The sequence below is a fragment of the Homo sapiens genome, chromosome 7 (assembly GCF_000001405.40).
Source record: "Homo sapiens chromosome 7, GRCh38.p14 Primary Assembly".
Lineage (NCBI taxonomy): Eukaryota > Metazoa > Chordata > Mammalia > Primates > Hominidae > Homo > Homo sapiens.
In genome coordinates, this window is record NC_000007.14 from 78,229,912 (window position 1) to 78,257,905 (window position 27,994).

At 37.6% G+C, this 27,994-nt stretch overlaps 1 protein-coding gene across 15 annotated transcripts in view, besides 1 other annotated feature; it reads right to left on the reverse strand.

Annotated features, from left to right (window-relative positions):
- The window catches only part of MAGI2 (membrane associated guanylate kinase, WW and PDZ domain containing 2), a 1,436,613-nt gene that overhangs the window by 212,857 nt on the left and 1,195,762 nt on the right, over positions 1-27,994 (reverse strand). For all 15 annotated transcript variants that reach the window (XM_047421093.1, XM_017012845.3, NM_001301128.2 and 12 more), the window contains one exon: positions 26,032-26,670. In XM_047421093.1, the coding sequence (XP_047277049.1) occupies positions 26,032-26,670 (639 nt within the window). The remainder of the gene's footprint in view (positions 1-26,031; positions 26,671-27,994) is intronic.
- Positions 16,399-17,335: an enhancer, noted in NCBI's record as "H3K27ac-H3K4me1 hESC enhancer chr7:77875627-77876563 (GRCh37/hg19 assembly coordinates)". NCBI's record gives its function as "activates a minimal SCP1, AML or CMV promoter by ChIP-STARR-seq in primed H9 embryonic stem cells {active_cell/tissue: H9 hESC(primed)}" and the evidence as "EXISTENCE:reporter gene assay evidence [ECO:0000049][PMID:30033119]".

Below are 27,994 nucleotides of genomic sequence, written 5' to 3' on the forward strand. Positions count from 1 at the left end.
CACCAATATCTAGTAAACAGGGATTAGTGACCCACAGAAAAATGACGATTAGAACATGGTTCTAATAAACGTTCAGTTAACAGTGCCTACGTTAACTGTTAGTAAACTGCATATATTTGAATCGACACATTGTCCTTTTTTTTGTCCTTATTAATTTCTCAAGTTAAAGAATGCCTTCAAGTATCGCTCAGGGGAATAGCACTAGAACTAATTAGACCAAACACTGTGCTCATCTCATCATGCCTGATAAGGCAGAGCAGAAAAATTCTCCCTAACACTCGAGGGCACTGTTTTGAATTGCATTAAAGTGTTTTCAGACATTTTGGAGTCAAGAGTATAATGCTACTTTTATATGACATTGATAATTTAAAGTTACATAGGGTGTACAGAGTTATTTTTATAGCATAATATAGTATTTCTAAAGGATGAGAGTGATAAGCCCAATTTCAAATCCCTTCCTTTAGAACGTGATTTTATTTCTCTATTACAATTCATTTTGTTAAGCATTTTACCATAGGTGTATACAAGTTTTAAAAACTTTGTTGCTAGTACTTTTTAGTGAATATGCAATTTTTTTTTAGAGAATAACTTTCGTCTTACACATGTGAAACTAAGTTCACATTTTTCATCTATCATTCTGATACCTGTTTTTAATGATTTTCCAAATTTCTGAAGGAGTCAATTGAAATTCTAGGCTCACAAACTACAATATCAAAAAAGACCTCCTTATTTATTGAGACTTTGAGGGGCAGCTTGGGTAATTAATTCTTCTGAGGAAAAAAGAGAAACAATTGGAAGGCCCCTATTTCATTAGCCTGACGCCAGCTCAGATTCTGGGCATCTTTTGGTTTCTGTAAAAACCCTGGAAGTGTGACTTCCTTCCATGTGACTGGCTGTCTCAGAAGTTGACTTGTTCACAGTTTCCTGATGTGCCTTCCTCAGGCAGTTTTTTAGTGTGTTCAAAAGCATCACTGACTGACTTTCACAAACTCCTGCAATTTAGAGACGTTTGTTGAAGTAAGCTTTCTCAAGAGCCTTGGGGAGGATGGTCTTTAGTAATTTCATAGAAATCTCTTCCACTAAATTAGGGGATTCTGTCACTGGACCAGGATCAATCATTCAAGGGTCAGGCTTCATGCTGGAATATGGAAACTTTAATTGGAATATAAATCACTTGGGAGATGATGTTAAAATGTAGATAATGATTCAATAGGGTCTAAAGTGGGATGCAAAATGACCTGGTCTCCCAGGTACTGAGGACCACACCTTAAGGAGCCAGGTGCTGCCGTAAGGTTAAGTGAGAAGGCTCAGCAAAGCTTGCGTGCAGCAGAAAGAAAAGATCTGAGGCAACAAGACTAGAGAAGCTACCTGGTGGTGAGAAAGGGTCAGAGTATTCCTCCATGGAGAGGAATACTCTTTGGAATTCTGGATGGGATGGGTTTTGGGATTGCGTGCCTGTTCCCCACAGCTGGGTGTTTTTGCATTCCTGGCCCCTGCGCTCTAAATGCCAGTAAGAATCCAATCAGTACAACAATTGATGATAAACAGCTTCAACGAAAAACAAATTCCATTCATGCTTTCTTGAAATTAAAATGATATCTGACAGATTCTTAATGTGTTATTTCACCATACAAGCACTGTAACACTTCTATGCGTCCCTAAAGGTTTTTTTAAACTGGACAAATATGGCGACTTCTTCCACTGTATGTTACTGGCACCATCTTCAAATAGCCTTCCTCAAGTTTGCTAACATAAATGAAAAGGTCCTCCCTCCTTCCCTACACCTGAAGTAAACAAGCTCTCTTTTCCCTCACTTGATCCTTTTCCCTTTGTTGGACACAAAGGGAAGTCTTTGAAGGGACTTTAGGCTGAAGAAAGGATGTAATTTGGATGTGTTGGGAACTTAGGGTATGGTAGAAGTCCAGTCGTTGACTGAATAGCTGGACTTGTCTCCTTAAGCCTGCAGTGTAGTTCTTACAAGTATATTTTTAAGGATTTTTACTTCCAAGTCTAACCAAGAGGGTTTTTTTTCCCATAATACAACCCCAAAATGACCCTGGGTAGTTACAAACCCACCCCTGGTGTTTGGGGGAGGGTGGGATGGCCTTGACTCAGGAACCATTGCTAAGAGGTATTCCACAAGAAAAAAAAAACCACACAGGCAAAAAAGCAAGGCATCCACATATTTTAAGGTATACTGTTGGAAAGTAGGTAGCTTCAAACAAAATTGGCAGGCAAACTCATTAATTTAATAGTCTTTTCTGACAAGGGCAAATAGCTAAACACTGTTTGCTAGACACTAAAATATAATGCAGGTAGGAACAATGTAATCTTGCTTGTATCCTCTGCTAATAGGATGATCCTTAGTTTATGAACAAATAGAATTTGAAAGTCATATATGACTGTTGCTGGGTTTATAACAATTTTTAAAGCTGTAGTATAATTAGGCTAAATAACATGGTTTTATAACATAAAAACATAATACTAAATTTATTCATGTTTTACAATACATGTGAGCAAGGCTATTTGGGGAAACAAATTGTCCGCTCAATTACCAGATAATTGTCGTATGGACTCTTAACAATCGGAGATTCGGTGATCATTTGGTGTGTGCGGGTAAGGTGAAATTACTTGATCTAGCACTCCATTTACAATTTATTAAAGGACTAGGCATCTTCCAGTCCAGAAAGCACAATGTGTCTTTCTGGGATTTTCCTGAGAAATTCTGAAGAAAAATGGTAACCCCAATGTTATGACTTAACAACAAACCTGGACCTGAAGAAATGATAAAGATTCTTATAGGGCTGGTGGGAAAATGTGAGGTGCTGGGACAGTCTTTCTGGAAGAAGTAATGTCTGACCTGAATTCACAAGGATAAATAGAAATTTGCCAAAACACACAGATTTTTAAGATAGGAAGAAATACTTTGCAATGACAAAGAGATATAAAACAACAGCTCTGTGCTACTAGGAGAATATGAATGCCATGAAGGCAGAGGTTTTTACATGTTTTGTTCACTGCTACATTAAGGAGCTTCAAGTGGTATCTGAAACACAGTAGAGGATCAGTGAATATTTATGGAATGAAGAATGAGTTAATTGCGATGAGTCATGTGAGATGAGGCTAAAGAGACTGGTGTGGACTAGAGGATGAAAAATTTGGATGTAAGAGAAAAGTTCTGATCTTTGCCTTCTAGAGGCCATGGAGAACCATGGAGGGGTATTAAGATGGGGAAATAAAATTGTAAAAGTAGATACAATCATGTGGGTGGTCATGATTGTGGTGGTGAGGTTACAGAGTGATAAAACAAAAAGGTTAACAAGCAACACAAGCTGGGAAATCTCAGTTTTTGAGGAGTAGACAAAGAATTCATTAAAGGAGTCTGAAAAGAAGCAGAGAACCAGGAAGACCTCTAGAAGATATGAGCGTCCCGGAAGCCACGGGAGGAAAGATTCTGGAAGAAATGAGAAATATTCATTCGACAAATAGAAAGTCAACAGAGAGAGCATTTTCAATAGTGGGATGGGGACTGAAACCAGACAGCAGTAGGATGAGAGGTGCAAGGCAGAAAAGGAAGTCAGATGTTAAGTAAAGGCTATTCCTACAAGAATCACTATCTTTATGATTTATGGTGGGGTAAATGTAGGCCCATACTTGGATAATCTTTCAAGAAATTTGGCCCAGGATGAAAGAAAAGAGAAAAATCCATGGCTGGAGGGGAAAGCAGAATCAAGAAAAAGTTCTTAAAGAATGGGATAAATTAGAGCAGGTTTATAGGCTAAAGGTAAGGTGCCTGAAGAAAAAGGAAGTTATAACAGGGTCCATGATAAAGGGAATGTTGATGAAGTGGTTCCCTGAGTGACTAAGAGTGACTTCCTTCCAGAGCAAGGTGAAGTTAGTGTCTTTGATTATGGGACCTATAAATTTTCTTTTGAAGCCAGAGGGAAAGAAGGAAGGATGCGCCTAGGTAGAAGGTAGTTTCCTTAGCATGAGGGAGAGAAAATTATCTGTAAGTACTTGGGATGATGGCATATTAGATTAGCTTCAGCTAAATGTGGATCTAATGCATGTATTTTAGTGGTCATGAATGTTTTCATTTTATGTTCTTTATATAAGTGTGCAGATTTACATGCCAAGTGGCAAGTGGGATACAGCAGGCCCTGCAAATCACTTTAGATCACTGGCAAGTGTGGTATGGGGAGTTTTTTGACAAATAAAAAAATACATAGCTAAAATGCAGTATTAATCCCAAATTTATAGCCATTTAAGTATAATGGATTCATCCATGCTTCCCTTGTTAAATTGTATTCCAGATTTTTAGTGGAAGTATCACTTTGGTGCAACATTTTCCAATCTACTAGCAGAAGATGCTTTGTAACATAAAACTGCTTCTGAACTGAAATGCATTGTAATGCTCATTACAACCCACTCTCCTGGAAATACAAAACTGATTTATCTAATGCACTAAAAAATTCTCCATAAATGTACCACACAATATGAAATAACGTTAATTAGGAGGAGAGGCACAACATAATACATTTTCTTTAAATTTTAGGGCAATCTGCATAACTTTCATTAATGTGGTATAATAACTGCAATTATTTCCATTTGCACTTTTCGTTAGAATTTATATTCATTATAATATAATGAATATTTTTCATATTCATTATATTTCATATAATATAATGAATATATTTCATATTCATTATATTTCATATAATATAATGAATATATTTCATATTCCACAGTATGAAAAATGAACATGACTTTATAAGGCTTTATAGCAAGATACTGCTATAGGTGATTTCGTTCATTTATTCAAAAAGTAAGAGCCAACTCATGCAGGCACTGTGATTCAACAGGCTTCACGGCAAGATTTTCAGTTCACCATCTGGAATTCTCTTGTACATAACTTTAATTGCACCCAGTCCATTTAAATTTCTGCTCTCATGCATAAGCAACGAACACTCCAACAGCAGAGCACATTTTTGACATGACAAGCATAATTTCTAAAATAAAATTTATTACAGTATAGTGGCAGAGAGTGAGGAATGTGATTTTTTTTTAATTTAAGTTTTAAAATTTATAGAACCAGGGGAATTTGAGACTTACTTGGCAAATTTATTGTATACTGGTTATTTTTAGATTTGAGTTTTGCTTTTTAAAAAAGTCTCCAATGAAAGATTCCCTCCCTCCACTTAAAAATAATTTGAATAAACTGATTGAACATATTTTACATAATAGTAAATTTGACCATCCTCCTGTAGCTTTAGAATTGTTGGCTGTAACCATTACTACTACTTTTTCTTCTTCCCTCTGACATTTGTTGAAATCCCAAATTTTGCTACTGCCATGTTTTATCTAAGGTTAGTAAATTTTGGGCTGCATGCTCAAGGAAATTACTACTGTTGATTAGAAGGGGGCAGGAAATAGGTTTATAGAAAAATACATAGTAAACAAACTGTTTGATGTGGTTTGGCTGTGTCCCCACCCAAGTCTCATCTTGAACTGTAGTTCCCATAATCTCCACGTGTCGTGGGAGGAACCCAGTGGGAAGTAATTTAATCATGGGGACTGTTACCCCCATGCTGTTCTTGTGATAGTGAGTTCTCACGAGATCTGATGGTTTTATGAGGGACTTTTCCCCCTTTGCTTGGCACTTCTCTCTCCTGCTGCCATGTGAAGAAGGACATGTTTGCTCCCGCTTCTGCCATGATTGTAAGTTTCCTGAGGCATCTCCAGCCCTGCAGAACCGTGAGTCAATTAAACCTCTTTCCTTTATAAATTACCCAGTCTTGGGCAGTTCTTTATAGCAGCGTGAGAACAGACTAATACTCTATTTTTTTTACAACTCCTTTCTTCTGGATCCCCCAACTCATAAAATAGACGATTGTAACTAAGCCTGTGAATCCAGAAACATTGAGAACCCTGGGGTTTTTTTTACATAGTATGGACATTGCAGGTTATCTTCAATTTAACAAAGGGTAGTTGGTGGCCAGAAAAGTGACATACTCAAAGTAACCATGTGAATTAGCAGCACATATTATACTAGAAATCTAGTATTATGATTCCAGTTAAAAGAGTTTTTCCTTATCTAATTCAGGTAAGACTGTATGTTTTTTTTTTTTTTTTTCTGAGTGAGGGCACTGTCGTATGGAAGGATTTACAGTCATAAAACTAGCACAATTTGTGGGTTAATGTATAGGGTTAATCTGTTCTTACCCATTAGTGTTAAACTCCATAAGAACAAGAACTTATCTTGTTAACTGGATGTTCCCATATTTATAACAGCACCTGGCACATTTATGGAATGAACAAAGAGGAGGAAGATAGACAAATTAAACAAAGACTTGGTACATGACCAAAGAGAATCGAATGATGATAGGTTGCTTGAAAAGCCCAGACAGAAGACAGTCAGTAGAAAAATAGTTTTGTTCATTTTTATACACTCAGCTGCATTATTTGACTCACACATGCATCTTCCTGATTTTGTTTTGTGACTGTTCTTCTCTCCCTGGTGTCATAACAGAATAAAATAATTCAACAAATATGCACGCCAAGCTCGAGGAAAAAACTGGTATGAGAGATACAGTCCTTGTTCTTGAGGGAAATTAGCTACTTTAAATAAGGTATTTAAAAGACAGTAGTTTCTCTGAATTGGCATTTCTGTATATATCCACTAGAACAATTACTTACATTTATACTGATAACTGATGAAGGTAAATGTTAACATGTTCCTTATGCATTTAGGTGTGCATTTAAGGTGTTAGAAACTGGGGTAAATAACATTAGAAACTGAGGTAAATAACAGGTTAATACAAAATTGATAATTAACAATTATATCCTGTGTATTAGTCTGTTCTCATGCTGCTAATAAAGACATACCTGAGACTGGGTAATTTATAAAGAAAAAGAGGTTTAATGGACTCAAAGTTTCACATGGCTGGGGAGCTCTCACAATCATGGTGGAAGGAGAAAGGCATGTCTTACATGGCAATAGGCAAGAAAGAAAAAGAAACAAGGGAAAGCAGAAACCCCTTATAAAAACATCAGATCTCGTGAGACTTACTATCACAAGAACAGCATGGGGGAAACCACCCCATGATTCAGTTATCTCTCACCAGGTCCCTCCCACAACACATGGGAATTATGGGAGCTACAATTCAAGATGAGATTTGGGTGGGGACACAGCCAAACCATATCATCCTGTTATACACATAGATTTACCATCTGTAAACACACTTCTACTGTCCCTCTTTCACCAGTATTTAGAAATGGCCAACAGACATATTTTTAAATAAAACAAATAGATATATTCATCCAAATACTTAAGTGATATGTGTTTGCAGGGTGGGGTTAGAATGGCACAATGTACTTTTTGTTGCTTTATGTTATTTTATTTTTACATTTTAGATTTGAGGGTACATGTGCAGGTTTGTCATATGGATATATTGTGTAATGGTGAGCTTTGGGCTTCTAGTCCTGGTTCTTTTTGTATTAAAGAGGGACTGTAGTTTAAAATTTTTTATTTTTATGGTATTTGAGCTTTATGATAATCTAAACAAGTAATTTGTCTCCAAGAATCTCCTCGATACAATGAATGCAATTTCCCTGCCTCTAAGCTCCAAATGAATGAGGTCTAAAATATTAAGAACAATAGCTCCTTCTATTGAAACTTACCACAAACAACAACATTTCATCACTTAACATTGGCACAAATAGGAATATTAGTTCTTTTTATTTTTTTTATGGATTTCTCAGTGCATGGAATTTTGGTGATAAGAAGTTGATCTCATATGAGTTGAATGGGAGAAAATAAAGATCACCCAGGATAATAATGAAGAGACAATGTGTATTCCGCCTCATCCCTGAATATATATAAAAACATAGTACATGCAAATAAATGTACTCTACCAATTTGAACATGAAAGAAGCTTTGTTTTCAAGTGACCAAAACACTAATATTGACTTCTTGCCAATTAGTCAATCATTTTTTAAAAAATTGAGTTTACTTACAACTGACTTGAGTGGTCACGTTAGCTCAAAATATTTGATCCTGTTGCCAAATCCAAAGCTACCTTCTCCGTCCTATTTTACTCAGCACTTGGCACAACTGCTCACACCTTCCATCTTGAAATGCTTTCCTTCATAAGGCTACTAGGACATGGTTTTTCTTCTTCCTCACAAGTTATGTGTTTTTGGCCTTTTGCTGGTCACTCTTCCCCTTCCTGACATTTAAAATTGGAGGTTCCTAGTCCTCAGAATGTTTCTCTTCTTTATTTGCACTCATTTCCTAGATGTTCTTATTCAGTCCCCAGCTTTAGGCATACTCCCCACATACCAGCCATCTCTACGTGGATGGCTTAAAGGCATCTCAAGCTTGACATGTCCCAGACTGGATTCTCGGTTCCCCATCCTGTCTCCTGTGACCATATGCATCTATCATAGTCATTATATAAATAAAGGGCAACTTTGTTCTGGTTTTTTAGGTTAAAATTTTTGTAGTCCTCTGGGTGTGGTGGTACATGCCCGTAGTACCAGCTACTGGGGAGACTGAGGTGGGAGGATTACTTGAGCCCAGGAGTTCGAGGCTAGCCTGGGCAAAATAACGAGAACCTGTCTCAAAAAAAAAATCTTTGATTTTTCTCTTTTTCTTATATCCCCCATCATGTCCATCAGTAAATCCTGTGGCTCTGCTTTTAAAATATATTTACAATCCATTTCTTACCTCATCCACTCCTAACCAACCTCCTCCAAGCTTTCTTCATCTAGTTTGGACTGCAGTGGAAGCCAGCTTGCCTGCCTGCCTGTTTCCATCCTTGCTCACCAACAGTCTATTCTCAACACAGCAGCTAGCACGAGCCTTTAAAAATGTTATGTCCTATCACTCCTCTGCTCAGACACTCAGAAACTCGTTTCATTCAAAAGTGAAACCCAAAGTCCTTTCTCTGGCCCATGGCTACACAAGATTCCACATTACTTGCCTCCCTCCACCTCCAACAATCTCTTGGACCTCTTCTACCATTCCATCTCTTCCTCACTTAGCTTTAGCCAACTTAGCTCCTTGTCATGGCTTGTCTGCATCAAGCACAGCCCTGCCTCAAAATCTTCTGCTTGCATGGGCAATTCTATCCTGGATATCTCTACAGCTTGCTCACTCACTTTCTTTAGATTTCTACACAGATGTCTTTCCCTGGCCACTCTTTCTAAAGGAGAACTGTCTGACAAAGTTTCCAGGAAAATACAATGGAGAAAGGAAAGTTCAGTAAATGGTGTTGGTAAAACTGAATATCCCCATGCAGAAGGATGAAATTAGATTATATCTCTCACCATATACAAATATCAACTCAAAATGGCTCAAAGACTTAAATGTAAAACCTGAAACTATAAAACTAATAGAAGAAAACATAGGGGAAAAGCTTTATGACATTGGTCTGGGCAGTGATTTTTCAACATGACCTCAAAAACCCAAGTAACAGAAGCAAAACTAGACAAATAGGGTTATATCAAACTAACAAACTTCTGTGCAGAAGAGGAAACAATTGACACAATGAAGTGACAACATGAAGAATGGAAGAAAATATTTGTAAACTGTACATGGATAAAGGGTTAATATCTAAAATATATAAGGAACTCAAATAACTCAATAGCAAGAAAAAAATAACCTGATCAAAAAATAGGCAAATGCCTGAGTAGGTATTTATCACAAAAAGATATACAAATGGCCAACAAGTATATGGAAATTGCTCAACATCACTAATCATCAGGGAAATGCAAATCAAAACCACAAGGCAGTATCGCCTCGCTCCTGTTAGAATAGTTATTAGGAAAAAGACAAAAGATAACAGGTGTTGGAGAGGATGTGGAGAAAAGGGAACCCTTGCACACTGTTGATGGCAATGTAAATTAGTATAGCCATTATGGAAAACAGCATGGAGGTTTCTCAAAATATCAAAGATAGATCTATATGATCAGTAATTCCACCACTAGGTATATATCTGAAGGAAATGAAACAAATATGTTGAAGAGATGCGTGCACTCCCATGTTTATTTTTTTTTCTATTTGTTTCCTAGAACTTTTTTTTTTAATACTTTAAGTTCTAGGGTACATGTGCACAACGTGCAGGTTTGTTACATAGGTGTACATGTGCCATGTTGGTTTGCTGCACCCATCAACTCGTCATTTACGTTAGGTATTTCTCCTAATGCTATCCCTCCTTCAGCCTCCTGCCCCCTGATAGGCCCCAGTGTGTGATGTTCCCTGCCCTGTGTCCAAGTGATCTCCTTGTTCAGTTCCCACCTATGAGTGAGAACATGTGGTGTTTGGTTTTCTGTCTTTGTGATAGTTTGCTGAGAATGATGGTTTCCAGCTTCATCCATGTCCCTGCAAAGGACATGAACTCATCCTTTTTTATGGCTGCATAGTATTCCATGGTGTATGTGGTGCACTCCCATGTTTATTGAAGCACTACTCATAATAGCCAAGGCAGGGAATCAATGGATAAAGAAAATGTGTTATATCTATATAATGGAATGGTATTCAGCCATAAAAAAGAATAAAGTCCTGTCATTTGCAACAGCGTGGGTGAACTAAAGCATATTTTGGTAAGTGAAATAAGCCAGGCATAGAAAGGCAAATACTGCATGATCTTACTCATGTGGAATCTAAAAAAGTTGATTTCATAGAAGTAGAAAGTAGAATGGTGGTTCCCAGAGGCTGGGATGGTTGTGGGGCTGGGAGGAGTTGGGGAGATGTTAGCTAAAGGATAAAACCATCACAGGAAGAATAAGTTCAAGAGATCTATTGTGCAGCATGGTGATTATAGTTGATGATGATATACCATATTCTTGAAAAATGCTAAGAGTGGACATTAAATGTTCTCATCACAAAAATAATTATGTGAGATAATGCATATATTAGCTAGATTTAACATTAGTACATATATTAGCTAGGTATTCAAAACATCATGTACACAATAAACACATATAATTTTATGTCAATTTTAAAAATAAATTTGGAAAAAAAAGAACTGTCTTCCTTGCCCATCACTTTCCTTTGTCTGACCCTGTTTCTCAGTTTTTCTTCATTCTCATCCCTAGTATGTATTACTGTGTTTATTGTCTAATTTCCTCCTAGGAGGCAAACTTCTTGAGGCAGGGACTTTGTTTTGCTCATTGCCGTATTTCCAGCACCTAGACTAGTGCTGGGCACACAGTTAGCCCTAAGTAAATACTTATTAAATGAATGAATAAGTCCTGCAGAGCCAAGCAGAAGCCATCAAAATCAAAGTCTTTTTTTAAAAGATAAAATTTTGGGAAACTGACAAAATATAAAAACTCGCTACAATTACAGTCAGAAGATTCAGGTGTGAGTTCTGTTTCTGCTACTTCTAAATGGTGTGACAATAACTCTACAAGATTCCCAGAATTCTGTCTCTTTCATGCTAAGTGTTGTTTGTGCATCAATATCCCCATTTGGTGTATGTCTTGTAAAATGCATGGCATTTTCTATGCTTAGGATGGGGTATCTTGTCATTGATATTTACTCAGATTTCTCACATTTGGGGGGCCCCCAAATTGCTAATCTCTTTGCATAGACACACTGAAATTGGGTCAATTATTAACTCTCAGTCTGTTAGGATACCTTGTGAATTTTAATACATATACCAGTGGCTTGAGTATACCTCACAAAGCTAGAATAAATCACATCACTATATCATGTTAGAAAAAAGATTTCATGGCCAGGTGCAGTGGCTCACGCCTGTAATCCCTACACTTTGGGAGGGTGAGGTGGGTGAATCACTTGAGGTCAGGAGTTCGAGACCAGCCTGGCCAACATGGTGAAACCCTGTCTCTACTACTAATAAAAAAAATTAGCAGGGTGTGGTGGTGTGCACCTGTAATCCCAGCTTCTCGGGAGGCTGAGGCAGGAGAATCACTTGAACCCAGGAGGTGGAGGCTGCAGTGAGCCGAGATCATGCCACTGCACTCCAGCCTGGACGACAGAGCGAGAACCCGTCTCAAAAAAAAAAAAAGATTTCACCTGATCACCTGATGACGTGACATGATCAATAGTTATATATCCTTGATGTGCAGGTCAGGGTATAGACAGCACATAAGGAATAGCAAGGGCAGAATGTCTACCACATGTTTGACCACAAACCATTTTTTAATTCCTGGACACACAAGAACGTGTACTACCTTTCCCAGTCTCTTATGACCAGTGGGAACTAGAACTGAGTTCTGGCCAATTGAATGTGGCAGAAAGTGAGGTACACCACCCCTTCCTGGGCTGGCTCCTAAAGCCTCTTGCATGACACTTTGCACTTTTGGTCTTATTTTAGCTGTGAGTTAGAGAGAGGACCCAGAGAGGGATGCGAAGGTCCTAGGGCATGAATCTTCACCAGAAGAAAGCCTGGTTCCCTGAGCCACTGCATGGAGGGGAGGTGCTCAGGAGATCTGCCATTCAGGAACACATGCACTGCAACTTATGTGAGTGAGAAATAAACTTTTATTAAGTCGCTAAGACTTCATGGTGTATTTGTTAATACAGTAGCCAGTATGTCATGTCATTCACAACTCATGCTGTGGATTTGTGACTTAGTTTGCTCTGTCATATATGCTTTTTTGCTGCTGACTTCAAATGGAAAGTTGGATTATATAATAATTGAATGTGGAATATCCACTTTGATTTTCTCCTAATCTCCCTGGATACAAATCTTTTCAAATACCTGGTGCTTTTCTCTCTCAGTAACGTTTCTATATTAGATCTTTATCAGTGATAGCTATTCTCTTTCATAGCTTAAATCTGTTTTGATAACTTCTTAAGTCTTTTGTTGTTGTGGTCATGGTGGTTTTTAAATTGTAAGTGATTCTTTATCTTTGGCCAGGTATGGTAGCTCATGCCTGTAATCCCAGCACTTTGGGAGGCTGAGGAAGGTGGACTGCTTGAGCTAAGGAGTTCAAGACCAACCTGAGCAACATGTTGTAATGTTACAAAAAATACAAAAATTAGCCAGGCATGGTGCCATATGCCTGTGGTCCCAGCTACTTGAAAGGCTGAGGTGGGGGGATCGCTTGAGCCCAGGAGGTCAAGGCAGCAGTGAACTGTGATTGTGCCACTGCATTCCAGCCTGGGTGACAGAGTGAGACCCTGTCTCAAAATAAATAAATAAATATAAGGTATCTTTTATAGCATTACCTAACTAGCTGCTTAAGTATTTCTCCAAACAAGTAGCAACATGAAACAACCTCTAAAATATTTGGGGGTAAAGGAACATGATATATGCAACCTACCCTCAAATGGTTCAGATACACACACACACACACACACACACACACACACACACACACACACACTCTCTCTCTCTCTCTCTTATAAAACAAATGGGGCAAAATGTTAATAGCAATGTGGGTAAACCGTATATGGTGTTATGTATATTATACTTGCACATTTTTTCTGTAAATTCAAAGCAACTTGTGAATATTTTTTAGAAAAAAGTATTAGCACTGTTATATTAATACTTCTAGCTTTACTTTTAATGTTTTATCTGTGCAGTTTAAAAATCGTGGTACAGTAGTTTTCTCTATTATGCTTTTTAAAATTTTAAAGCAAAAACACAATTCTCTGGGTTCTTAATTTTCTGCTTTTCACTCAAAGCTATGATATAGTCTATGATACCTCTTAAATACTCTGAATTCTCTTTGAATGTAAAAAAAAGATGTGTATTATCCATACTAGTTAATATATTGTCAGCATAAGAGAATATACTGATCTAGTGAAAACTTTGGGGGATCATGTTTTATAGAACTAGGAAGAAAAGTTTTCAAAAACGGGTCAACTGAAATTAACAGGAAGCTCACAAATTAAGCAGAAGACTTTGTTGCATTTTAATATAAATATGAATAAAATATATAATAAGGCTTGATTATGGCAATCACTCTGGGTTTGTCATATTCCAGACCCCAAACAACAGTGTCCTTGAGCAAAGTGTAATTATTCCCTCCTCTACACTAGGCTGGGCATCAGCCAATAAATTATTTATAAATAAATTAGTATGTTTCTTGAGCCATTAAAATAGAAAAACTACCAGCCAACCTAATTAAGAAAAAGCACTAATAAGAAATAAGGGCCAGGCATGGTGGCTCACACCTGGAATCACAGCACTTTTGGAGGCCAAGATGGGAGGATCGCTTGAGGCCAGGAGTTTGAGACCAGCCTGGTCAACATAGCAAGACCTCATCTCTATTTAAATTAAAAAAAAAAAAAAAAAAAAAAAAAAGAAAAAGAAATGGGAGTAATAGAACTACTCTCAGGTAAAGTGGAAACTGGAAGAAAAATGGAGAATATTTGATTTTAATTCTATTTAAATACTTTTGAAAACCTGAATAAAAGAGACAATTTGTAGGATAACATGCATTGTAAAAACTGAGCCCTGGCAAGACAGAAACTCTAAAAAAAATTAATTACTATGGAAGAAATTGAAAAGTTCTAAAAGGGTACCCTTCCTCCCACCAAACCAAACCAAATTAAACAAAAAACAAAACCTAACACACCAGAACTAGATAATTGCAAAGATGTATATTATATCTGCAAGGAATAGATAACTTTGAAGATAATTAAATTATTTCTCAGCAGAGAAAGTATATTGATTGCTTTTAAGACATCAGCATAACTTTAATAGTAAAATGTGATGGTAAAAAATATAACAAAAAGGAAATTTTAGGCCAATGTCATTTAAAGTTGATGCAAAATTATATGTAAACAAATAGAATTTAGGAGTGTATTATAAGCATAATATGATTGAACATAGTTTATTCCAGGAATGAAAGGATAGCTTAATGCTAATGAGTCCCTTAATGCAACTCATCATAGTGATAAGTCAAAGGAGAAAATAATAATCATCTCCAAAGATGGCAAAAAAAAAAGCTTTGTATAAAATTTATTACCCATTTTTGATGCAGATTCTGAATGAAATGGGAATTGAGGGGTATTTCCTTAGCATGGCAAATATTAATCTTAAATGGAAGGCCAGTATTGTATTTAAGAGTGTAAAATGAGACTTTCCATTTAAGTCAGGAAATGGATAGAAATTTCCATAATCCTCACTATTAACAGTGACATGTATATAATAACACAAATCAAAGGTATGCAAATAAGAAAGGAGGAGGCAAAGCGATTGTTATTTGTAGGTGGTACGCGTGTATGCCCCCAAATACAACACCATGAAATGAACTGAAAAAATTACGAGAAACACTAAGATAACTCAGTAAAGGAGCTGGGCAGAAGATAGATATTCAAGGATAAAACTCCAGGGGGATAGGAGATATAAATGTAAAAAACAAACTAAGGACATATTTATGTTATTTATTTTTTGGTCTGTCTCTAATAATATCAATTCCATGAGGAAAAGGACATGATTGGCTTTGTTTATTGCTTTATCTCTAGTGCTAAAAAAGCGCCTAGCACATTGTGGGCATTCAAAAAGTATTTGTTGAAACTGAGAAAGGGGCAAGATGGCCAACTAGAAACCCTTAGCACTTGTCCCTACCCCACAAGGACAGTCCAAACAACAGATAAGTAATTACATTTTGATGAAAATAACTAAAGGAGAGCACTAGTGCACATCAAAGGAGTGGCAGAAACCCTGTAGAGCACAGAAATCTAGGATGGCCCCAGAGAGGATGGAAGGAAACCCCTGGCCTCCACCACCTCACCTCCCAGCTGGGCTCAGCTCAGAACCAGGAGGGACTTCTCCCTGTGAGGAAAAGGTAAGCAGGTGGACCCCAGCATCCCCCCATCAACACCTTGGACACCTGCAGTCCTCACCACTGGGGACTCCTGCAGTCCTCACAGACACTGAACCCAGCTGAAGGAGGTGTCAGGAGTCCACACAGCCATGCTCCCTCCAGAAAAGAAGCCGACACGGTGCCTTGCCCCCTGTGACCCACACGGCTACTGTGCTTTGCCATCTTGGAATCAGAACTACTGCTAGGTTATGTCCTGCTCTCGGGGTGAGTGGCCATGGCACCCTCCCATGCCTAAGGGCTTAGCCACCATGGAGCCACCCCTGTTCAGTGGTTCACCATCCCTGAGCGGAGCTGCTACCATACCCTACCCTGTGAGGCCAAGCTGCTGTAGAGCTGCTCTATCTACCCCTCCCAGTGGTTGCTGCATCTTGTCAATCAGGGCCCAAAATAAAGCTGTGCACTGCCTCCCAAGGAAACAGTGGATTAACAACACAGCTTCATCTACACCTCCCAGTAACTGCTACATCCAGCTCCCCCATGTCTGAGCTGAAATAGTGCCCAGCATCCTGGGGAAACAGTGTCTTGGCTGTCCAGAGGAGTCATGTCCCACCAGTGCCTGAGTTGAAGATGTGCCCTGCCTCCTGGGAAATGATGTCTTGGCCACTGAGAGCAGTCACACCTCCTGGGACTGAGCTGAAGCAGCACATTGCCTCCAAAGGAATTAGTGCCCTGGTGAAGCTGAGCAGCCATGCATCCCTGGGCTGAGCTGATAGAAACCCTGCATCCCAGAGAAACAGCATTGGTTGGGCTGAGACACCCTGGCCCGCACGCAAAACAACTAGTACCCTCCTTCCCTGGAGTCAAACCAGCCCCTTAGAGTCTGAGCTGCTGAGACAAACCCTTCACTGGGGAGTAAAGTCATCTCTGTGCTGCTCCCTGTCCCACCAGAGCCTAAGCAATTGCTGCACTCTGCTATTCTAGGGTTCTGGCTGCTGCACCTGACCAAGTCTGGGATGCTGCTGTGTTCCACCACCTCAGGGTCCAAAGTCACCACTAAATAGTGTCTCATCCCCCACGATCTGACTTGACGCTATGTCGTATTGGCTCTGGTTCACAAATTGCAGCTGTATCCTGCTCACCAGGCCCAAATCTCCATAGCACCCCTTCTTTTCTGGAGCCAGGCCAGTGCCGTGCCCTGCCCTCAGGGTCAGAGACATAGCTACAAGCTGGCCCCCTGGGCCTAAGCTCCTGGAGGTTGCCTCAGAGTCACAGATCCTGGCTCTGTGGGCAATCTCTATCCAACTCTGCCTCAGAGAGTAAACCTATAGCACAAGACCCAGTTGTTACAATAGGTTGGCAAGATCTTGAACCCCGGACCTCAGTTTCACAGCTGCTCTGACACCTGTGTCCTGGAGCCCAGTGCTGCTGCAGCTGCATATGCTGCAGCTGCATATTGACCATGTTAGACCCAACACCAAGAGGGATTCATTCAGCTAAGTCTGCCCATTGTGGAGAAAACATGATCAGGACAGTCTCAAAACTCTTGCCACCAAGAACCCCAGCAATCTATGCTGCCACTGCTGTTGCCACAAACTCCTATAGCCTAGGCTGCTGAGACATCATCGCAAATGTTAATTGCAGCTGAAGAATCTGTGCAAAGACTATACCACTGAATATACTTGGAACCAGCCACTACATCTTTTTCAGCCGGCATACTAAGACTTGTTTGGAGGTGAAAATATGACCCTACCAAAGGAACACAATAACTCTGTAACTAACCTCCAGAAAAAGGGAAATTTATAAATTGTCTGAAAAGGAATTAAAAATAATGGGCTTTAAGCAAACTCAGTGAGATACAAGAGAATACAGATAGACAGTTGAAAAAAATCAGAGAAACAGTTCATGATCTCAAAGAGAAATTTAACAAAGAGATGGATATCTAAAAAAGAACCAATAGAAATCTTGGAGCTGAAGAATTTCATGAATGAAATTAAAAACATACAATACAGAGCTTCAGTAGCAGACTAGATTAAGCAGAAGAAAGAATCTCTGAACTTGAAGATAGATCTAGATCTTTTGAAATTACCCAATCAGAGGGGAAAACAAAAACAAAAACCCAAAACAATAAAAAAGTGAAAACAGCCTATGGGAGTCCTGGGATACCATTAAATGAGAAAACATTTGTATTATGAGAGTTTCAGAAAAAGAAGTGACAAAGATAGGGACAGAAAGCTTATCTGTAATTATAAAATAGTTGGTGAAAACTTCCCAAGTCTTGGAAGAGATAAAAACATCCAGATTAATGAAGCTTACAGGTTCCCAAACAAACTCAACCTAGAGAGGTCCTCACTGAGACAAAGTGCAATTAAATGGTCAAAAGTCAAAAGAAAAAGTAAGAATTTAAAAAGCAGCAATGAGAAAAATGTCAAGTCATACACAAGGGAACTACCATTAGACTATGAACAGATGTCTCAGCAGAAACCCTGGAGTCTAAGAAAGAAGGGGATGATATTGAAAGTGCTGAAAGTCTTTCCTGAACAAGCAAAAGTTGAGGGAAATCATTCCCCTACATCTGCCTTACATCAAATGCTTAAGGGAGTTCTTCAAGTAGAAATGAAAGCATATGAAAGTACAACATTCACTGATAAGGGCAAATATATCAAATCCAGAATAATTCAATACTGTTATGTTGCTCTGTAAATCATAGATATCTCTACTATGAACCATTAACAAAACATCAGTAGTAAGTCCTTATCTATCAATAAATACTTTGAATGTAAATGGATTGAAATCTCCAATCAAAAGACACAGATTTGCTGAATAGTTTAAAAAACAAGATCCAACTATATGCTGCTTACAAGAGACTCACATTAACCTTAAGGACACACAGAGGCTGAAAATAAAGGGATAGAAGAAGATATTCCAGGCAAACAGTAAACAAAAGAGTAGGAGTGGCTATACTTAGATAAAATAGATTCATTGGGGAAAGCATAGCTTTATAAATGGTGCTGTGAAAATTGGAAATAAAACTAGACTTCTGTCTCTCTCAAAAATCAAATCAAAATGCATTAAAAACTTAAACGTAAGATCCAAAACTATAAAGGTACTATAGTAAAACATGTGGAGATACTTCATGATATTGGCTTGGACAATGGTTTTTTGGATATGCCTCAAAAGCACAGGCAATAAAAAAGCAGACAAATGGGATTACATCCAATTAAAAAGATTCCATACTGAAAAAGAACAATCAACAACCTCCAAAATAGGAGAAAACCTACAAAATAGGAGAAAATATTTGCAAACTACTCATCTGACAAGAAGTTAATATCCAAAATATACAAGGAACTCAAACAGCTTAACAGCTAAAAAAAAATAATAAAAAAAAAGTGCGAAAGAGCTGAGTAGACATTCCTCAAAAGACATACGAATGGCTAACAGTTATATGAAAAATTGCTCACCATCACTAATTATCAGGGAAATACAAATCAAAACCACAGTGTGATATCACCTCAATGTGTTAAGATAGCTATTAGCAAAAAGACAAAAGATAACAAGTGTCGGCGAGGATGTGGAGAAAAGGGAACCCTTGCACACTGTGGATGGCAATGTAAATTAGTATAGCCATTACAGAAAACAGTATGGAAGTTCCTCAAAATATTAAAAATAGAACTACTACATGATCAGTAATTCTACTGGGTATATATCTGAAGAAAATAAAATGAATATGTCACAAAGTTATCTTCACTCCTATATTTATTGAAGTACTATTCGCAATAGCCAAGATATGGAGCCAACCCAAGTGTCCATCAATGGATGAATGGTTAAAGAAAATGTGGTAAATCTACACAATGGAATACTATTCAGCCACAAAAGAGAATGAAATCCTGTCATTTGCAACAACATGAATAAACCTGGAGGACATTACATTAAGTATGCCAGGCCCAGAAAGACAAATACTGCACGATCTCACTTATATGCAGAATATAAAAGAGTTCATCTCATAGAAATAGAGAATAAAATAGTGGATAGCAGTGGCTGGGGAGGGTAGTGGGAAGGAGGGGTAGGGGGAAATTGTACAAAGGATACGAAGTTACTGTTAGGAGAAAATAGTTCCTGTGTCCTATTGCACATTAGGTTGACTATAGTTACCAATAATGTATAGTATATTTCAAAGTAGATAGAGGATTTTGAATGTTTTCACCACAAAGAAATGATAAATGCTTGAGGTGATGGATTTACTTACCCTGATTTGATACTTATACAGCATATACATGTGTTGAAACATCATATACCCCATAAATATGTATAATTATTGTCAATTAAAAATAGACTTAAAAGATACACTGTTTTTCTAATAGAAAAAGCCTGAAAGCAACAATATCCATTAGCTTTAGTGGGAATCTGATTAAGTATTAAAAACAAGATGTATTTCTGAACTAATATATAAAACCCTCCAAAATAAATGAATATTAAAAAACAGCAAGGCACTAGGACATATACAACTGTAATGTACTCAACAGGACCAAAATCATACAAAACATGTTCTCTTCGACAATGAAATTATTAGAAATCAACAATAGAAAAAGATTTGGGAAATTCCAAATGTTGGGATAATACACAGTTTTCTAAGTAACCTATAGGTCAAAAAAGAAATTACAAGGGAAATAAATATCTTAGACGGAGTGAAAAAGGGAAACACAACATAGTAAAATTTATGGAATTTAGCTAAAGAAGTAGTTGGAGTGAAATTTATAGTTTTAAGTGATTTCGTTAGAAAGAAATGGAATCATTAATCCTCTAAGCTTCCACCTCAAGAAGACAGAAAAGGAAAAGTAAATCAAACACGAAGTAAGCTGGAGAGAAAAAACTATTAACTACCAGTGTGTAAAATGTTGAAACGGAAAACAGAAAATCAGCAATTTCAAAAGTTAGTTCTTAAAAAGGAATTACATAAAATTTTATTAAAAACTTTATGCTAATTCAACAACTTAGATGAATTATAAAAATTTCTAGAAATACATAAATTACCAAAACTGATTTAAGAAGAAAACATTAAATCAAGAAAAGAAATGGAATTAATAACTAAAAACCTTCCTACAAATAAAAGCTCAGACTAGATGACTTCACTGGTGAATTCTATCAGACTTTTAAGGAAGAAATAATATCAATCCTACACAAACTGTTTCAGAAGTTAGAGGAGAGGGAACACTTTCCTACTCATTTTATGAAGCCACTATTATCCTGACACCAAAGCCAGAGAAATATATCACATGAAAAGAAAACAACAGAAAAATCTTCCCCCAAACAGATTAAAAAATCTTTAACAAAATATGAGCAAACAAAATTCAGCAACATACAAAAAGAGTTATATACCATGATCAAGTAGGGTTGTTATCCCAGGAACATTAAATTAGTTCAATAACTAAAAATCGTGTTATGTAATATACCATTATTAATAAAGGACAAAAACTACCAGATCATCCCAATAGCTGCAGCAAAAACATTTGATAAAAACCAAGACCTATTGATTATTTAAATTTCCAGCAAACCAAGAATAGAAGACAACTTTCTCAACCTGATAAAGGGCATATAAAAATCCTGTCCTAAAATCAGATGTAATGATGCAAGACTAACAGTTTCTAAAACTGGTAACAAGGTAGGGATGTCTGCTCACCTCTCTTGCACTCAATATTATTCTGGGAAGTTCAAGCTAGTGTAATAAGGCAAGGAAAAGAAGTCAAAGGCATACAAATTGGAAAGGAAGAAGTAAAACTGTCTTTATTACCAGATGGTATAATAACTACATAGAATATATTATGGAGTCTACAAAAAGCCTCCAGACTTAAAGAGTCAGTTTAATAAAATTGCAGTGTACGAAATAAAAAATGAAAAACAAATGCATTTCTATATATTAGCAATAAACAACCTGAAAAGACATAAAACAATTCCATTGACAATAACATCAACAAGAATAAAATAGCTAGAAATAAATTGAACAAAAGTACAAGATCTGTACATTGAAAACTACAAACTGTTTCTGAGAGAAATTAAAGATCCAAATAAGTGAAGAGATATACTATCTTTATGAATTAAAAGGTTCAATGTTGGCAATTTTCCACAAATAGCTCTATAGATGCAATGAAACACCCAAATCTCAGCAGGCCTTTTATGTAACAAAATAATTAAAAAGGCAATCCTAGGCCAGGCACAGTGACTCATTCCTGTAATCCCAACTTTGGCGGGTAGAGGCAGGAGGATTGCGTGAGCCCAGGAGCTCTAGACACCCCTGGGAAACACAGTGAGGCTTCATCACTAAAAGAAAATTTAAAAAGCCAGGTACAGTGGCATGTGCCTGTAGTCCTACCTACTGGAGAAGCTGAGGTGAAGGATCACTTGAGCCCAGGAGTTTGAGGCTGCAGTGAGCTATGATTGCACCACTGTACTGTAGCTTATGCAACAGAGTGAGACCCTGTCTATTAAAAAAAAAAAAAAAAAAAGGAACAATGCAATCCTAGAATGTCTATGGAAATGCAAAGGACCTAGAATAGCCACATTATTTTGAAAAAGCAGAAAAAGTTGGAGGACTAACACTCTCTGGTTTCAAGACTTAATAGAAAGCTAAAGTAACCTAGAGGGTGTGGTAGTAGCACAAGAATAGACAAACAGATCAATGGAACAGAATAGGGCATCTAGAAATAAACCTCCACATTTATGCTAATTCATTTTTGACAAAAGTGTCAAGGGAATTCAATAAAAAATTAGCTTTTTCAACAAATGGTGCTAGAATGATTGGATGTACATAAGCAAAAAAAAAAAAAATGAAGTTAGGCCCTTAATTCACAGTATACACAAAAATTATCTTGACATGTTTACAGACCTAAATAAAAGAGCTAAAGGTATACAATTTTTAGAAGAAAACACAAGAAATCTCAGGTCAGGCAAAGATTTCTTAGATATAACACCAAAAGAATGATCCATATAAGAAAAAAAAAAACTTGGGCCAGGCACGGTGGCTCACGCCCGTAATCCCAGCACTTCGGGAGGCTGAGGTGGGTGGATCACGAGGTCAGGATACTGAGACCATCCTGGCTAACACAGTGAAACCCTGTCTCTACCAAAAATATAAAAAATTAGCCAGATGTGGTGGCACGTGCCTGTAATCCCAGCTACTCAGGAGGCTGAGGCAGGAGAATTGCTTGAACCCAGGAGGTGGAGGTTGCAGTGAGCCAAGATCGTGCCACTGCACTCCAGCCTGGGCAACAGAGTGAGACTCTGTCTCCAAAAAAAAAAAAAAAAAAACAATGGGCAGCTATTGGAAACCTTGTACAACAGCCATTTTAGAAAACATTCTACTTCTTAACAATTTAAATATATATTCTTCTTACAGCTGAGCAATACTACTCCTAGGTATCTACCCAAGAAAAATGAAAACATAAGCAACACAAACATGTGTATCCAAATGTTCATAACAACATGATTCATAAATGTCAAAAACTGAAAACAACTCAAATGTCCATACACTAATGAATGGACAGGAAAATGGAGTGTATCTGTACAATGGAATACTATGCAGCCATAAAAGAAACAAACACTTAAACCTCACCGACATAGGTAACTCTCACCAGCATTAAGCTAAGTAAAATATTATATACTGTATGATTCCATTTATGAAAAAATTATAGAAAGACAAAACGATTCAGAAAGCATATTAGTGGTTACCTGGGGTTTGGGAGAATTCGGGATGATGGATGTTCTAAGGATTATGATGATTGTTGCACAACTATATCATTTTAGCAACTTACTGAGCATACACTTACATTGGTGAGTGTTGTGGTATGTAAATTATATCACATGGTGTATGTAAAACACCAAATAACCTAGGTATTTTAAAGTAGCACACACTTATCCCATCTATATTAAACATACTATATATATTCATACACGTGCTAGTAGACCATAAACTTTCTGTGACTATACATACAAACAATATATTTGCTTCTGGGAGAAAGGACTGAAAGTCTGGGATAGGACAGACAATTACTTTCATTTTATACTTGTTGACATTATTTGCTTTAAAAAAGTTAAACCATGTACATTATTACTTTATAAATTAAAAACTCTAGTAAATAATTAAAAACAGCCGACCACCCATGGTCCTGATATAAGGACCCAGGCCTGCGACTCAGCTCTTGAGTCTGCTTATCTCAAAGAGGTCATAGGCACTTCTGGTAGCCCATAATAAGATAAAGTGAATTTCACCACATAAGCATGGTGCTAGTTCCTATTAATTTCAGAGAGATGAGTATAAATTGTGGGAATTAGGGTAAACTCAAGAGGTTTTCGACTAGAAGTACTTTAAGCATCACAGCATTCTGCATTTTGCTATGCTAGGCAAAAAACAAAAACCAATTCCCTCATCCCCAAACACAAACCAAATGCAAAGACCACTTTGATTACTTGTGGAGTAAATGGGGGGCAAAGGAAAAGTGAGAATGGGGTAGCCAAGCTGATAGCAGGCACACAACGAATATTTTCAGAAAAGTACAAATTACCATAATGTAAATTAGGGATTTCAAAGTACCTTTTTTCTGCTATGTCATGCTTTTAGAAGAAGCTGTATATAAAAAATGCATCCAAATTTGTTTCTATGAATCATACAGTGGATACTGCACAGTGAGTTTGTGATACCATTTAATATCAAGAACTTGGTCCAAATATTTGATTTTCATTTGGACACTATGAAGATATGGCTATTTAATTAGCAATGTTTATTTTAATCTTAAGCAATGCAAGAAATTAAAATACCTTGCCAACATTTAATTATGAGAATTCAAGTGCTATTTTGTAACAATGCCTTGAGAAGGTCAAATTTAAGATTGTTTGGCTATCATATGAATTTCCCTTTTAGTACCGGGAACCTAAGACTTTGTAGAGTGCTGCTCACAAATGCCTGGTGTTTGCTGTCCGTTTCCAAACAAGGAATCAACAATGTGATACTTCCTTGAAGGAAAAACACCTGCAGACAGGGCCAAATAAATCATAAAAGGTGCTTCTTTCTTTCAGCTTTGACAGCCTTCACTTGCATTTCAAACTGAGAGTTTCAGGCTGTTTTGAGTGCTTTGAATAGGCAACCACATGTTTGTCACACGTGTGTCCTTCATGCATGAGTTCCTCATTGTCCTGTTCCTTCTGACCCACCCATGCTGAAGCTTCGATGTTTACACTCGCCAGACATTTAGTGAGCAGATGTTGGGCTACAACACTACCACTGGGTTAGGTAGTAGTATTATCCCATTGTAACAGATGACATGGCTGAGGCTCATTGACTTTCAGTGTCCTAAGTCCACAAATTGGCAAATGGGAAAACCAGGGCTTAGCCTGATCCTTTTCCTTTACACTCTTTTTTCGAGATAGTATCCTCTTTATCTATGGCCCCTTCCCTCCCTTCTCTCTCTAGGTTCACTGGTCATCCAGAGCAAAGCAGCAGAGGTGTGGAGAAGGGGCCCTGTGCTTTACCCCATTCCCTTCCCCACAGAAAAGGTAGAGGGGAAGAAACATTCAGGGCTCAGAGCTTCTACCACACTTGGCACTGTTCCTATTTCCATACTTTGCCCGGGACACTCAGGCCAGAACTTCAGCCCTCACCCTGTTCTGTAACTTTCTTCCCAGATCATGGGAGGCACTATGGGTAATTGTTGCTAGTGCAGTTCCTGTAGTAGCAGAAGTGTCCTGAACAGCATCATTCCAAACTGTGAAAAGATTTTTCTACAGCAGCACAGCTCCCACAGCTCTCACAGTTCATGGTCCTTCTGAGTATTGTCAAGACTGTGCTTGGGCTTAGTAGGGGTTGAACTGGCTTCCACCTGCTAGCCTGGAAACCTAAGCACGATTAAAAGCGTTGCTTCCATCGTAAAAGCAGGTTTCTTAATTAAATCAATGGGAAACCAGTTTGAGTTCTCCATGACCGATACATGAATGAATTTTTGAAACAAAATACATTCATAGTTGGGGATTTAATCTTTACCCTCCAACTTTCTATCAATATGTCTGTAAGACTGAAAGAACTATTATTATTGTGTTTAATACAAAATAGAAAAAGACATATTCTGAATTCAAAAACAAAGTTTCCTTTAATTCATGTTTTTCTCTCTCACTCTTTAAGCTTTATTTTTTAAAGTATAATTTCATTCAACTCCAAGGAAATCTGCATTTTAACAATATTATTAAATGATCCTACTATTTTACCCACATATTTTATTGCTGAGCCAGTGTTTGTCTTACCTCCTCGATGGATAATCAAAGAAGTTTCACTTCCAATGGGACAGTCCTTAAGTATATCCACTACTTCTGTATGGCTCAGGTTCTGTACATTCTGCTGGTTGATCTCAACAATGAGGTCGCCTTCACACAGGCCAGGGCATCCCTGAATGTCAAGTATTTGTTTCACCCGCTGTCCTGTAGGACTGTCGGCAATAGTGAAGCCGAAGCCCTGGGCACCTTTCACAATGGTTAAGGTCATAAGTTCAGCTTGGGTGGCCCCAGATGAAGCCATAGACACATTGTCATCATGGACGGGCGGTGGATACGTGCCGTCTAGCTGACCATCAGTTGGCATGGAGTGCAGAGAATGAGGCGGCCGATCTGTTATATCTGGAACTGACTGTGAGGTCCGAGAAATGTACTCCAAATATGTTTCATAGTTGTGTCTTCCATTGACCATCACTGGAGGTGGCCTCTCCATTATTGCAAGGGGTGGCACCATGCTGTTAGCAGGGTCTTCAGGATCAAAGGGCAAAGGGTAGCCACGACACAACACCAGGTTGACACTCTGACCAATAGGAACAGACTGGAAAAGTTTGACAACATCTGCATGAGTGTGTCCAAGGACACAAACTTCATTAATATAGACAATGACATCACCTGTAAGAAAAAAAGAGATTGACAACATGAGGTAAGTTCAATTAACATTGACATAGAGAAATGGAATTATTTACGAGACTAGTGAGAGGTGTTGTTTCTTAGTAAGCAGTGAGAAATCAATTAGAATAATACTTAAAATCACTGTGGGTGACTCAAGGTTACAACAGGACTGCCAGCAAATACAATGATGAAGTGCTGAAAAAAAGCTATTTGGTTATTCTTGAAGTTCAGAAACAACTTCATATTCAGAAACAAAGGCTCTGAAAGAAAAGGTTAGAGGAATGTGTACCTTGAAGAAGCACATTCTCTATGCTTCTTTTTCATCTTATATTCCATCTTCAGTGTAATTCAGTTAATATAATTTTCGAACTATTGAGAAGTAGTGGTCATGAGTTTTAGACGAAAAACAAAGCCCTAGCATATTTTTTTTTGTATAAGTTGAATAAGTCAATTGCCTTTTTTCTTTTTTATGGAACAGAAAAATATTTGCCCATTTATTTTTTTCCATCTATAGCAGGTAATTACAAAGCTTCCATGTATATGCGAGCAAAGGTCAAGGGTGCAGGTTTTGGGATTAGGGAGCTGGGTTGACACCTTGGCTCTACTATTTAACAGATACATGATATTGACCAAGTTCCCTGCTTTGAGCCACAGTTCCTCATTTGTAAAGTTGTGAGAATGAAATGACATAATGTAGGAAAAGTACTTGGCATAGTGTATGACACACAGTGCTCAATAAATGTGGACTATTATTAATATGATTGTTGTTAAAATAGGATGGAGGAGATTTGGGTCCCTTGGTTTCAAACAGAAAGTTGCCACAGTTCATCCTCTGATCTTAGATAAACTAATATTTCTGTGGATCAGTTTCAATAAAGGCACTTGTCCTTTCTCCCCAGTGAACTATCACAGATTTTCAGAGGTCTACTGGTTAGAGGCTAACTTTATGATTAGAAATGCTCTGAATGCAAATTATCCATTATAAAATATATTCAGAGAAATATTTTTTCCTGCTTAAAATGCAGAAAATCATGGCTGTTTGAGATAAATGTTTTTTTAAAAATTTCAATTATGTATGAATAACAATTTTATTTTTGGAGAACTATTTTATCATGGATTGGTATTTTTATCTTCACAAACCATAATACTTGAAAATTGAGCTTGCAAATTGAGATTGTGCCTGACTATGCTGAGGAGTATATTAGGGATGAAGAGACATGTTTTCACAGATCTTGAAATAAGCAACTCAACAGACATCAGTTTATCAGAATAATTCTGGAATGGGAGGTACAAATGGCTAGGGATTTCATTCTGAGACATCCTT